The 15232-nt window shown below is 48.3% G+C and overlaps 1 protein-coding gene across 10 annotated transcripts in view, besides 1 other annotated feature; it reads right to left on the bottom strand.

The window, feature by feature from the left end:
* Positions 1 to 15232, bottom strand: part of TRABD2B (TraB domain containing 2B) — a 236858-nt gene that overhangs the window by 81865 nt on the left and 139761 nt on the right. The window lies entirely within an intron of this gene.
* Positions 11325 to 11494: an enhancer, noted in NCBI's record as "experimental_8222 CRE fragment used in MPRA reporter constructs". NCBI's record gives its function as "activates a minimal promoter by MPRAs in K562 erythroleukemia cells, with activity observed for both the introgressed and non-introgressed 1:48319474 variant alleles {active_cell/tissue: K562}" and the evidence as "EXISTENCE:reporter gene assay evidence [ECO:0000049][PMID:34662402]".

Here is a 15232-nt window from a genome sequence, read left to right on the forward strand (position 1 = left end):
GGCTCCCTCCTTTGCCTTTCTTATTCTGCCTGGTCCCTGCTGGGGCTATACCCTCCCAGGGGGGAGGATACTGGTCCTACAGACATCTGCCTTTCCTCTCCCTCCAGCACCAGCCTCGGTGGAAAGCTTCCAGGTGACATGGTTTGGAAGTTCAAACTTCAGGAAAGAAAAAGCATGCTCTATAACACAACAAGTACGCAGCCAGGACTAGATTCAGTCCCCAGTGTGGGCACTCACTTGGGCAAGTGGCTTACTTCTCTGAGCTTCATTTTCCTCCCTGCAATGCTTCTGAAATAGCTAATTGGATGATTCATTCCTATGGATGCGTCTGCCCCATTCAGAAACTGTTTATGGCAGTGAACAAAACTAACTCTCTAATGTGTGGAGATTTCATTGTAGCAGAAGAGAGGAATTAACAAGTGGATACTTGGTGTGTAGGGTGGTGATAACCCCTGTGGACAAACATAAAGCAAAGTAAGGGAGGTGGCAGGAGCTGTTCTGTTTAGTGTGGCCAAGGACAGCTTCACTGGGATGGGGATGTTGGAGCTGAGAACTGAAGGGGCTAAGAGAGCTGTCCTGGGGAGATCTAAGGACCATTTTAGACAGAGGTAGTGTCATGATGAAGGAGCATGGCAGCTGCCCGAAGGACAGCAAGAGGCCAGTGTGGCTGCTGTATAGTGAAAGGGGGTGGAGGAGGGAGGTGTGAGATGAGGTCAGTGGTGACAGTAGGGGTGGGGTGATTGTCAAGCAGGACCTAAGGCCATCCTGAAGACCCTTTTCCTTAGAGCAAGGAGGGAGCCACTGGAGGGTTTTAAGCCGGGGGCATAAGACCTGATTTGCATGTTAAAGGCTCCCTCTGCCTGTAGAGTGGAGGAGAAAATGCCAGGGTGCAGGGCAGACGCAGGGACCCTGGTCCAGCGGCTTATGAGAGAAGGGGAGAAAGTGAGCAGGGGTGTTCTGGATGCAGACTGAAGGTAGAGCCAATAGGGTCTGCTGACCAACTGGACGTAGGGCGAGAGCAAGAGGAGTCAGCATGAGCCCCGTTGATCTGGCCTGAGCAACTGTCGGAGTGGAGCAGGCTTGGGAGTAGGGGAAGATTTGGAGTTTGGTTTAGGGTATGTGCATTTTGAAGTGCCTGCTGAACAACCAGACGGAGTGTCAGGAAGGAAGTCCAGGATGGAGTTATACATTTGGGAGATGACTTTTTAAAGGAAGGAAGACAGAAGAGAGGTTTATGGGTAGAGACCTTAATGTTTAGAGGTCAGGGGCATGAGGAGGAACCAGCTGGAACACTGTGAAGGAGTGGCCAGCCAGGCAAGCAGTGAAGACAGAGGGGTGGCCCGAAATTCAAGTAAGAACTGTTTTAAGAAGTTGCCAACTCAGTCAAAGCCTGCTGACAACAGGACTCCCTTGCAGGAGAAGGCAGATGAGTGGGGTGTGGAGCCTGAAAAGAAGAGGAAACCAAACATGGGGTAGTTTATCCCCTCCCAAGATGCCAATTCAGAATAGATCTTTTTGGAAATGGAATGGCCAGGGCTGTGGAGCCTCTCTCGATGGGCACCCAGCCCCAGGCCCGTAACATGTGGAAGAAAGCCCCAATAGAAGCTGACTTTAGCCCTAACTCCTGGAATGTCTTTGAACCCCACAAGGAAAAGCTGGAGCTCGGAAGCAGGTAATTTCAGCCAAGTGCACTGTGTTTGCTTAGAGTTTGGGTGCAGCAACCAGTTAATTACTCAAGTAAATCATGTCACCGTCCCCTGCAGCCCCAGTGCAATAACACCGTGCTGACCACACTTTAAAAAGTGATATAAGCCTCTGAGTGCAAGCTAAGAGGTTTTATAGGCCACCCTTTGAATAGGCCTTTTTCTCCCGGAGCCCACAAGAGTCGTGTGTGTCCATGCCTGCCCAGAGTTGGGGAGGGAGGGTGGCTCTTGGGGGCCACCTTCTTATACGAGGTCCATATGAGTTGGGGCCCATCCAGGGCTGGCTGGCAGCCCAGCTTGGAGGCGGGAGAAGTTCATCTTTTCTGTGTCCTCTGATCACATCAATGTGATGTGTTTCTCTCATTGCCCAGATGCCGTTAGCCCTCCAACTCCAATCCCTATGATCTCAATGAACATCTTTTGGGCCAGGCTCTGGCCTGAGTGCCTGGGACTCAGGTGTGCTAAGGTACAGTGCTTACTCTCTGGCAAACCCAAGAGATGGGCAGACGCTCTGCTCCAAGGGTAAGGCAGAATGAACTAAATTCTTCACAGGAGAAAAAAGCATAAAGTGATGTGAGTCCCGGAGAGGGAATGATGGATTCAGGAACATCTGTTGGGCCTACGAGGATAAGATTTCAACAGACAGGATTCATGGTAAGAGAATTACAGGCAGTGAAAGCAGCATGAGTAAAGGTCAGGAACTTGGGTAAATTCTTCAACTGGATATTAACAGAAGCTGAGATCCTTTGACTTAGACACTCAGAGTCAGACTCTCAGGTGGCTTGAGTCACAGACTGATGGGCCCCTGTAATGTAAGAACTGCAGTTCTTTGAGCAAGACAGAAGTACACCTGGTCACATCCCTCCCCCAGGGCAGGAGATCCTCCAGCAGTCACCAACAGGTAGCACCTTCCAAGACAGGTGGAGACAGGGTGAGGATTCCATCCTGTGCAGGCATCCACCCAGCATCACTGTCCCCCGTCCATCAATCTCCAGACGCTGGTCAGGTGCGTGCTCGTGACCAGCTTTGGCCCCTGTGTTCCAATGACTATGCCTTGCCCCTTCCACCTCCAAGAAAAGCTCACCTTCCCACCCCTTTTTCTGCCACGTTATGGAAAGAGCATGTCCGTTAGCATGGTAGTGATTGATAACTGGAGATGATCTCATTTAGGAGCTTGGTCTCAGGTCTAACCCTACCCTGACATATTTTACCTCCTTAATCCACACTTTCTCTTCTTAATATTAGGATAATAACAACAAAAATAGTGAGTAATTATTTTGCTCTTACTAAGTGTCTGGCACTGGGGTAAAACCTTGACAGCCATGATCTTTGCTAATTTTCAAAACAATCTATGCTACAGGCACTATTATTCTCCTCTTACATATTAGGAGACTGAGGCACAGAGAGGTAAAGTAATTTGCCCACAGTCACCCAGCCAGTAAATGGTGAAACTGGGATATGAACCAAGGAAGTCTGACTTTAGAGACTGCTATTAATGACAATGAGAAGAAAAATTATAATTATAATCATAATAAACTATCTCTCCTCAGGCATATGTGCAGCAAATTCATTATAGAGTGGGTGTTTAAAGTCTGCTTTTAGGGGCTTTAGATACAAGGTATGTGAATATATGACCACAGACAATGTGGCTGCTGAGAGATTATTTTTGTATAATAAGGAATGTATTTTTATAATCTGAATAGTTACCTCCTAATGTGTTTAGTCCTCATTGAACTGTGGGCTTCTTAAAGGAAATGAACACGTTTTATTCTATTTGAAATCCCTAGAACAATGCCTGGCACATAGTAAGTGCTTAGTAAATGCTTGCTGAATGAACTGACACACACAGTACGTTTCCTCTTTCCAGGGCTGACCTGCATGCTGGGAAAGTGAAAGGGTGGAGGAAGTGTCTCTATCTTCATAAATTTGCAAAGGGGGTCTGCGTGAGTAGCCAGGCTTAAGGACTTCCCATACCTGGCTTTATGGCAATACTTTAATAGCTGCTATGCAAAGACTGCTAGAGCTTCTCAATGAAGAAGTTAAAAAAAGAAAAGAACCAGCATATAGCTAAGATGTGGTTAATACATTCAGCATGCTTCCCCCTCCAGTTAATTAAAAAACTTGATTACAGGAAAGTTGAAGTGGCTTTTCTTTCCAAGGGAAATGCACCAACTTCTGAGGAATGGGAAAGAGGGATGCCAAGAGCTGCCCCATTGCCATTTCCACCTGCTCCAACTGCCCATCTGGCTCATCTGTGAAATGAGCTAGACTTACTCCTGGGCAGTGAGAAGGAGCTGATGTGGTAGAAGTGATATGTGCTCATCCAAGAGCCGAAGGCCTGAGTTCCTAGCCTGTTTCTCTAATTCTCTGTATGACCATAGCTGGGGCTGTGCCTGTTTGGGTCTTCATTTCCTCACCTGTGGAGGGGATTGATTGTGACCCTCACGTCTGAGGTGCTGGGGAGGTTGAGTGAGACAGTGAGAGTGAGGTACATGAAACATAGAGGCCAGGTCTCAGGGAAGGCAAGGCATCTGGTCAATTCAGGGAACAAAAGGAAAAAAATCCCTGCAGGGGCTCACTGAGTCCTGTAGACGAAACATCTGGGGGACTTACTGTATTTTTCAGTTTGAACCACTCTTGAGTTGGAACATGGACAATGGGTGAACATCCATATAGATCATCCACCTAGACTGGGAGTGATTCACACCTGTAACACATTCTGGCTTAACATAATGCAGGCCAGGTTAAGTTAAAACATGCATACACACACACACACACACACACACACACACACACACACAAATGAGGGCTGGGTGCCCTCTGACCCTCAGCTCGATAGCTACCTCCTGGGCAGTGATCTGCGGGAGATAGGAGTGTCCAGATCAAAGGATGGAGAGGGGTAGATTTATGGTGTGCAGGGATCCTCCCAGGTGTTTCTTCTCTGACCTCCTCCCCACTGGAGCATCTGGAGAGGAGGTGTTGGCCTTGGGAAAGGAGAAAGAATAAGGGCTTTTCCTGGAAACTGCTCCTTCTTGGGGGAACTTGGAGGTGGTCTTGCACTTGGGGAGGCTGGGCCTGCCGCCAAGGTCTTAGCTAAGGTTAAAGAGGACACTACCTCAACTGAAAAGCTCTGCAGTGGGTCATTCCTAGCCAGGTAAAATGGACTTATCTTCCATGGTGCGCTGCCACACCACCCCCTTCACAGGAAGGACTGGTCGCCTCTATGTTCTGAAAGCATGCAACTCCTTTTGGAGAGTTCTTCCATCTTGGAGGAAGGGCCCATATTGATTATCTTCGTGTCTCCAATGGCCAGCACAGTGGCTGGCATGGGTCATTATGCATGGAAATATGTCGGGTTGCAATGAATTGAATAGTTTTGACATTGTTATGTCAACTGACATTGAATGGTGCCCTCTCACTGGACTGATGGGGAAACTGAGGCCCAGAGCTGGAAAGTCAATTGCACACAGTGGCTGCAGGAGTCAGCAGCAGATGCGGAACTGAGCTCAGTATTCCCTCACATCTGCTCCAGCGCCCTGCAGCCCTTGCACATGGATCTGGGCCTCAGAAAAAAGCTCTCCCTCTCCATCCTGCCTTAATCCACTCAACTAGGTTGTGCACAGCCCAGTCAAGAGGGGGAAATGTCCACATTACCAAAATCATACGAAAGAAATTATGGATGGAAAAATCATTACCTTATAAATCGGCCGAGCTGTTCAGAACTTGTAGGAAACGGCATATAAAACTCATATGGCACGTTAGGGCTTTGATAGCGCCTCATTACAGCCCTCAGACTCCAGTGAAAAATGTCCTCACCCAGAGGGGGCTAATTTTCCTTTATTAATGACATGGGGCGGGGCTGACGCCATAAATTCCAGCTACCTGAGAGCCCTGAGCTTGAGACAAACTCTTCTAAGAGACGTCTCTCTCCAGGCTAGGCTGCTCCACCCCGTTTTACTCTGCTGTATGCAAAGGAAGCAAGACTAGAGAAGACAGCCTCCCCTGACTCAAGGACCCCAGCCCCTAGACTAGAGAAACACATGGAGAGACAGCAAGATCTTTCTTTTCTCTATGAGGGCCAAACCCAAAATGTTAAGTAATTCAGGCACTTAATAGAAAGTAGAGGGCTGAGAAAAGGGGGATACACATATTACCCCCAATTTTAGGTGTGATTTCTATAATGGAAGTTGTGTGCATTCTACCATCTACATTCCTCACAGCCAGTCTGTGACCAGGGTGAGGGGTCAGCTATGACCAGGATCAGGGCTCTGGCTGTGACCAAGATTACGGCTCAGGCTGTAACCAGGATCAGGGCTCAGGCTATCCTGAGTGGGCAGAACTAGACCCTGCTCACAGGCCCACAGGGGATTTAAGAATGTAGTCACAGTCATCATATCAGAAAACACTCAACCAAACCTGGACCCTAAAAGCAAACGTGGCTTCCAGCCCATGGTTTTGCCTTTGTTACAGATGCATGAACCCCCAGAGTGACACAGCTTAGCATCTTCTAGTTTAAATTCTCAGCTTGCCCATGACACAAACGAGGAAACTGAGGGCTGCAAATATTCCCTGAATGTTGGGTTAGTAACCTGGAAGGGCAGGGAAAGTTTGTCCAGGTCACCAGACCCCCAGCCGAACACAATTTCCTAGCTGCCTTCACTTGCTCCACAGCAAAGGAATAATGGGAAATCATGGCCTGTCAAGTCTGGCTGTATGGTTCTAATCCTTGACCATGTGTCCCCAGGAGAAAAGAAAAGGGAGAGTTTGTCTGTCTTCTCAGGTAGTCACATGTCCTTAAGGATATTAGGCTATCTTCCCTATGGACATGGCTCCCTGAAATGCCAGAGGCCTTCATCCCTGTGGGTCCCCATCGGCAACCCTTCCTGTCTATATGTGGCTATTAAAGGCTTCATGCACATTGCCTGATGTGAGCTCTGCAGCAGCCTTTCAGTCTCTGGTACAGCTGAGAAAATAATTGAGGATCACAGCAGTTAAGTGGCTGATAAGGCTGAATTGTGTCCTACTCCCTCCTAATTCATATGGTGAAGCTCCCACCCCCAGGACCTCAGAATGTGATGTATTTGGAGATAGGGCCTTTACAAAGGTAATTAAGTTTAAATGAGGCCATTAGGGTGGGCCCTAATCCAATCTGACTGTTGCCCTTATAAAAAGAGGTGGATTGGGAAACACAGAGACACCAGACATGTGTACAACTGGACAATCACGAGAAGAGGCATCCAGAACACTGCCATCTGTGAACGAAGGAGGAAGGCCCCAGAGGAAACCAATGCTGGCAGCACCTTGACCTTGGACTGTGCCTCCAGGACTGTGAGGAAGTACATTCCTGTTGCTTCGGCCACCCAGTCTGTGGTTCTTTGTTACGGCAGTCTCAGCAGATGAATACAGTGGCTCACCTAAGATTTGCCAAAATAAGACAGGAAAATCTTCCCAGTGCTGAATTCTTCCCTACTGTGAGTGGGCACCTCTCAAAGCCCCAGCTAGCTAGAATGTAAGTTCTGAGATGGCAGAAGTTGTGTCTTTACCTCTCTGTCTCCATCTGGCATTGGGCATTGTCAGTCTTTGTTGTTTTGTTTGACCTGGTGTGAGCCGGTGGGATTGGCTGCTAAGTGAGGGGATGGGGTGCGGGAGGGAGGACAGGGCAAACCTGGCCCCTGAAGGCCAACGTGGCTCCCGCCCAAGGTTTTTGCTTTTGTTACCACTGTGGTCAGCACCCTGCCTTACACAACTGCCTTCCTGCTCCATCCCCACCCACTGCAGCCCAAAGTAGAATCCCCTGATGGGACATTTGGCTTAACCTGGCATTTCACAGGCCTGTTCCTTCCAGAAGAAGCTGCAGCCCCAGCCAGCACTGGCCCACAGACTCACAGGAGAATTGCAAAACCAAGGCATGCACCCCAGATCAAATTCCCCTGCCTTGGGTCTTCGAGCTACTTGTTTATACAAAAGAAAATCTATTTCCCACCCTCAGCTGGGAGGTGGCTGGACCACAGACAATCCTGTCACTGGGGCCTGCATAGGAGGTGTGGCTTCTAGGGAGCTTTCCCCTAGTCACAAGTCCTAGAGGATGCTGTAGACTTCTCACAGGAGCTGGCCCAGTCCCTCTCAGCCAGGACAGGGGCAAAGGCCTGAACACAGAGTCAGTAACCAAGAGGACGTGTGATGGAGGACTTTCTCACAGTCTGTGCTATCTCATGATGGAGTAGGCTGTCCCAGGCAGAGCTGAGCTCACCAGGAGGAGTATATGCAAGCTACTGTCAGAAACTGAGGAAAGGCCCCTAACACCATATGGAAGCTTGGCCAAAATAATCCGAAAGGCCTCTTCCAACCTTGAAAGAGCAGGGGTCTAAGAATCTAGATTCATGCATTCAATGAACATTCATAGGTGCTCTCCACCCTAAGGGCACATTGCATGGACACTGCAGAGCTAGAGCTGAGCCTTGACCCTTGGTCTCCCACACTCCAGCTTGTGCCCTTCCCTCCAGGCCAAGCCACCTCCCCATCTTGGTGCCCCAGTGCCTGACTTGGGATTTGGCCTGGACCAAGGGGTGAGTGAGTGCTGCCTGGCACCACTAAGAAGGAAGTGCAGACGGGAGGGAGGGAATGAATGAATCCTGCAGGTGGGCCCCTGCCCACTCTCCGCCTCCTCTGGCTCATGTCTTCTATATCAGTGGTCCCCAACCTTTTTGGCACCTGGGACCGATTTCATGGAAGACAATTTCTCCACAGACTCGGGGGTTGGGAGATGGTTTAGGGATTAAATTGTTCCACTTCAGATCATCAGACCTTAGATTCTCATAAGGAGCACACAACCTAGATCACTTGCATGCACAGTTCACAACAGGGTTCATGCTCCTCTGAGAATCTAATGCCACCGCTGATCTGACAGGAGGCGGAGCTCAGGTGGTAATGCTCGCTCACCTGCTCACCTCCTGCTGTGTGGCCTGGTTCCTAACAGGCTATGGACTGGTACCAGTCCACAGACCAGGTGGTGGAGACCCCTGTTCTATATGAATGTTCTACCTGAGAAGGAGGGCAGAGTCTGGGCTCACTGAGGACTGACTGGTGACAGGCCCCATTCTCCTTGTTTCAGGCTGTCTTGGACTCTGCTGCACACTCATGACTCTCCTTCTTCCCACCCCATGCTCCATGGCCCACCCCAGCCCTTCAGAACTAAAGCAGCTCATCAGCACATAAAATATAACAAATTATAAATAATCAAAATGGGAAACCAGCCTTTTAAATATCAAGGCCTCTTGGGATAATAACTATGTCCCCCAACCTAAGGAGAGTCACAAGAATGTATGTGAACCTGCGGGGTGGTGTGTGTAGTCACAGAGTGGGACATGGGTGAGGAAAAAGAGGGAGGAAGGGAGGGAGAGAGGGAAAGAGATTGATTTTTGACATTATGCTCAGTAAGAAATTTAGATCTTCTTTTGAGTTATACTGGAGCTGAAGAAATGTCAGAGAGTTTTGTAGAGTCAGAAGTTTCTGCTCCAAGTCCTTCTCTGTCATTTGCTCGGACAAGTGATATTCAGTGTCCCAAGCCACAATGGGAGTGACAATCCCCACTTCCCAGGGCCACTGTGAGAATTAGTTGAGTGTGTGTGTACATATCCCACAGAGGCTGACCTACTAAGTACTAGACATGAGCAAATCGCACCACATGCATCACTGTCCTGGGCCTTCCCATTGGTTCTGTGAGCATTATCATTTTATTGGCGAGGAACCCTAGGCTTAGAGAAATTGCGGAAATAGCTCAATATAACTCAGCTAATATGTGCCAGAGGTGGGATTTGAACCCAGACTGTCTGGCTACAGAATTTGTGCTCTTAATCAATGTGATTCACAAAGTAGGCTCTTGACAAATGTCTATGAAATGACAAAAGGGCAACCCAAAGGCAGAGTGAGCAAAAGCAAGGGAGGCTAGCAAGAGTCATTCTAGAGCTCTGTGCTAAGGGAAAGGAAAACAGAAAGCTAGAAACTGTCCAAAGAATAACCCCAAACCCAAACACCCACCAGCCACCGCCATGGGCCCTGGGGGACTAGGCTCCCGAGAAACCTCCGGGGCTCTGGAATGAGAGCTGGGCCCAGACTGCGGCCTGAGATAGACGAGGCCAGGCGGAGGTTTGGGGCAGAGTCCCTTGGTAAGGCGTGCGGAGCTCCTGGCCCCATGGAGCCACACACATAAGGATTCTAAGGCAGCCTTTGTTGCTGTTGGAGGCTAGGAATTCCAGGCCAAAGTAATCTAACCGACCATGAACAGAATTAAATTTCTGCCTCCCCCACTTCCTGACCCACTATGGGATTCATTTTCACGATCCCCTTTCAATGATGTGAGCCCGTTTCAGAGAGCTGGAAGCAGGCCCCATGTGGCTGCGCAACGCCAAGAATCTGAGCCTTCCCTGCAGCCCACCAGGGCCACCATTGCTGGTCACGTCTGGCCAGAACTCTCCGGGAATGTCAGCTCTCAGCAGGACCAGCAGACTCTCAAAGCACGCTGTGATTGCCCGAGCTCCCTCTGAGCCTATCCATTTCTGCTGTGTTCCAGGCACTGGTTACATACTATTTCAATAATCCCAGAGGAGGAGGTACCATTGTTATCCCCATTCTGCAGATGAAGAAATGGGGTGGGTGGTGGTGGTGCTGCTGAGGTTAAGTTATTCATCCAAGCTCATTTTCCCAAGTGTCTTCGACTGAAGAACTCTTAACAACCATAATACCTGCCCCAAAGTTGAGTATTTCAAAGTATATATATATTTTTGGTCATCTTTAAAACAGGGCGATGGTGACTAATACCTCTTTGAAGGCCCAGCTGAGTTCTCATATTCTCTTTGATTGGGTTTAAGAGTTTCACTTCCACGGCTCCCCAAAGGCAGCCAGGGCTGGTGGGGCAGGTAAAGGGGGGTGGGTGGGAAAGCCTCCCCAACATCCTGGAAGCATGCCTAGCAGAGAAAAGCCTTTTCTAATGAATGTTGGCTAAGCAGAGTGGCCACTGAGCAAATACCCTGAACGGGGGCTTGGTTGATGCTAGGGCCGAGGGCCACTCACTGGGAGATGGTCAAGCTGGGGAATGTCAAGATCTGGGAGTTGAGCAAACACATATCCCTGGGACTCCACATTCCTCAGTCTGCAGCCTGGGGCCCAAACCCACCAACGCACCCCGGCATTGTCTAGCAGTGGCCCGAATTAGCCAAGGGGCAAGATCAATATTTGCTGGTACATATTGGGTCCCACCTCCGGCAGCATCTGTGTTTGGACAGTGCTGCCTCCCACTGCCCAGAATCTTTTCCCAAACGCACTCTGGGCCCAGCAGGTCTCCACAGGGTGGTGGTCACTGAACTTGGAGGCTGAGGGTTGGGGATAACTCTGGTGGGATTTCTCATCATGTCTGACCTCAAACCTTTCCACATATTTCAGAACCAGGAAAGTCACGCAGGAAAGAGTCTAAAAGGATCTCTGGGAGCCTAGCTCAGGGACTGTGTGGAGACCATGATGGTTAATATGGGTTATCCTGGGAGAAGTCATCTTTGATTCCTCCCCTACCATCCACTCACCCATCCATCCATCCACCTATCCACCCATCCAATATTTATTAGATTTTGAATAGCTCTGTCAATCTGTCTTCTTCTCAGCTGTCACTGGCCCTACACAAGCTTAAGCCCCTCTGGCCTAGAAAACCATAACAAGACTTCTAACTGGGGTCTCTGTTTCCCACCTCTTACTCTGCAATTATTCTCCAAGTCGTAGCTAGAGTGGACTTTCTAAACCACAAATATGATCACATCTCTCCCTGTTTAAACCTTGCAATGGCTCCCACTGCCTGCAGCAGCAAGCAAGCCTAGCTCCTTAGATGGCTTACAGAGAGACTATAATGATTTCATTACTGTTTCCTTCTCCCACTAGCCTCATTCTGGCCTATCTCCCACAATTCATATGACATAATAGTTACAAGCAGAGCTTTGGGGTCAGAAAGACATGGGTTTCAACTCTGCTACTTACTAGCTATGTCATTTTGGGCAGGCCACTTCAATTTCTGAACCTCTGTAAAATGGGGACGGTCTCCTGGGTTTGAAACTAGGAAAATATATGTCAGATTCTTAGCACAATGCCTACTGTCTAGAGTTGGCAGGGTCAGTCATGCTACCTCTTGGGAAGGGGTTACTAGGAAAGGTTGTGAATGACTTACCCTCCTTTGGCCTCTCTCATGAGGCTGTTGCAGCCCCTGTTCTCTTCCTTCAGCTGATCTCCAGAGTCTGGTTCTGTTTTGATCAGGGAAGGAAGGTATTGCAGATGATGCTTCAGGCGTCTGAATTAAGGCTTTTTTCCTTTGAGGTCACATAATCAAGATGTAACTGGAGCACAAATGTTTTATCCAATCAATGAAACTAAATCACTTTGCTAATTGCCTGGAATAAGTCATAGTCCTCTGTGATTTGATGGTGAGGGTCTCAAAACAGAGTGTAGGGTGCCACAAGCCACTTTAGCAAGTAATAATGACACTAACGAAGTGCTTTAGACCCTGCTAGGGAAGTGACCTCGCAATTTGCATTTTTTTACATTTAGAGCAAGTAAAGCTGAAAGAGGGAAAGTAGTTCACCAAAGGTCACAGATAGGCAGTAACAGAGGTAGAATTCAAGGTCAGGCTCTGCCCCTGAGCTTGTTTGCATTTTGTTTGGTGTTTGTTTATTGAAGTTTGTAGTATTTTATTTAAAAAGGCAGCTTGTATAGGTGGTGAGAGGTAGGGGAGAGAGTATGCCTTTGGAGTCACATGTAAAAAAGTTTGGAGCTCACATTTTTCAAGTGAATAGCTGTGTGATGTAGGGCAAGCTGCTTACCACCTCTGAGCCTATTTCCTCATTTGTGAAATGAGGGTAATAGGCCTTCTTGGGATCATCAGCAGATATGATATAAAATGGCTCAGAGTACCTTGGCACTGAGCTGAAACTTCAGAGGCCCTTAGACTGTGGTTCATGTGGGTTTTTGAATAAGACTGGGTTTTGTTTAAACCTTTTTATTTAAAATGAAATATTTCAAAAGAAGAGTACAGAGAAATCGAATAAATATCTATGTATTTGCTACTGAGAGTTAACACACATTGATCTTCCAATATATTTGTTTCCCATATTTTTTAAAATATTGATCTTCTACTATATTTGTTTCACATGTTTTTTAAAAACAAAATGTATAGAATCATAAGTTCCCTTTCCTCTCCTTAATCCCAGTCCCTTCTCTTGTCCTCCAGAGGCAATCACTTCTGAGGCTGGAGTGTATCCTTGTCTGCATTTTTACTCTTCTATTACATGCACATATGTGCATAAACAGTATGGGATATCGTTCTGTTTTTAAATTTGCATAAGTAGAAGACTGCACATATTGTTCTGATTTGCCTTTTTAACCGGATATTATCTAAGTAAGATTTACCCATGTTGACACGCATAGGTCATCCATTCTGACAGCTGTCTAGTATTTCACTCTGTGAACATAGTATGATTCGTTTATCCATTTGTCCACTGCTATGGATGGAATGCTTGTGTTCTCCCAAACTTCCTATGCTGAAATGTGATGGTAATTGGAGATGGGGGCTTTGGGAGGTAATCAGGTCATGAAGGTGGAGCCCTCATTAGTGCCCTTACAGGGAAAGACACAGAGGGCTTACTTCCTCTCTCTTTCCACTTTGTGAGGGCACACTAGAAGACAGCCATCTGCAAACCAGAAGAGGGCCCGCATCAGAACTTGACCATGCTAACACCCTGATACGGAACTTGCCAGCTTCCAGAACTAAGAGAAATCAATATCTGTTATTTAAGCTATCCAGTTGGTGATATTATGTTATAGCAGCCTTAGTGGATGAGGGCGCTTGCAGATGAAAAATGCCCCAGACCCTGGCCCCTAGTTTTTCACTGTGCTGTCATGAAGAAGAGAGATGTGAGGAGAGGAGAAACCATTTTCCCTGGAAGGATGGACAAGCCACTTTCTAAGCATGAGATTGGACTCAAAGAAAGGCCCCTGAAATGCTGTTCAGCCTGGATGAGTGGCACAGAGATAGCTCCCTTTCTGCCCACCATGTAAGCGGGGTCTGCGGGCAGGACCCCTGCCTGCTTCCAGGCACCCCTTCCACACACACTGTGGAGTGCTTCCTGACCCTACTTTGGGATCTCTCTGCCTCCCTTGCCATGGATCCTGCTCTACCCTCTGCTGTCCTACTGCTGCCATGGTGCTTGGCACACAGTATGTGCTCAGTAAATATTAGTGAGTGAACGCATGAGAGTGTGAAGTGAAAATGAATGTGTGTGTGAATAATGAAAGGGCTGGGTGGATGAATGCAGTTAGTTCTTGGATTTAGGATATGTTTGGGCTTAGAATACCATCTCCCTCAACTTTGAAAAGGCATTTTGAGGTGGGCTGAGAGTCCCAGTCCCTGATTCTAGGACCAGCTTTGCCATCGTAGGACACAGCATGGTGCTTAGAGAGGCTCAGAGTTTTTCCAGTCATGATGTCCTGATGGTCTAAGTGGACCACTTCACTCCAACCATGCACCCACCCTCAAGCTCTGGTTACACACTGTCCACACACAGCCTCTCATTTTTCAAGAGCACAGTCTGGGATGAATTCCTTGCTCACCACCTATGCTAAAAGAGATTTATTACTCCCACAAACTCTTTTTATCCCACTCCTTCTCAGAGACTTTGATAGATCTTTATCTTGATAAATGATGAGGCCTGGGCCCCGCAGGCAGAGAGAGAGGTGAGTGGTAAGATGTGAGCCTGGAAAGGAAAAGGAAAAGGAAAACGTACTAGAGGCTGTCAGCCATTGATGTGCAGGAGAAGCTGTCACTCAGAGCTCCTCCACAGCCAGCTGAGAATAGCTGAATAGGAGGTTTTTTGACAGTTTCAGCAATGGTCCAACAACTTGCCAGGTGACCGCAGTAGCACTGCCTTCGGTCCTTGAGCCTGTTGGGAGATGGCCTTTGCAGCCAAGCAAACTGTGGCCTCTGTTCACCTTTATGTTTTGGAGTTGACCATCATAAAGGCACTTTCTGCATCCAAGTGGGCAGTCTTGGTGCATTGCAAGGATTTTCCTGAAGTGGCTTCCCCTTCCCTCAGCCCCTGGGCCTTTAGTAGGTGCTCCCTAATCAGGGAAACCCTAGTATCCTGGACCCTCCCCCTTCCTGAAGCCACTCCCAGAGCTTGCTGCCTGAGCTCTCATCTTCTTAGCCTGCAGACTTGGCAGGTGCTCCTGTTTAGGCACAATGAGCCGGGCCAGCCACCGTTGCTGCATTAGCCCTGCCCCACCGTGTGCCTACCTAGCAACCTTCTATGCCTCCTTCCAGGCACAGAACCATAGACTTCTCCTTGGGGAAGCCTTCCCTGATCCCGTGAGCAAGGGGGTTAAGGCCCCCTTCTCAGTACCTACCTCTGGGTGTCCCTCTGAATTCCTCCTGACTGCTGTGCCCGAGGTCTGTCTGTTCACTTGTCTGTCCTTTCAGCTGACCTCCTAGGGCAGCATTC

The sequence above is a fragment of the Homo sapiens genome, chromosome 1 (genome assembly GCF_000001405.40).
Source record: "Homo sapiens chromosome 1, GRCh38.p14 Primary Assembly".
NCBI classification, from domain to species: domain Eukaryota; kingdom Metazoa; phylum Chordata; class Mammalia; order Primates; family Hominidae; genus Homo; species Homo sapiens.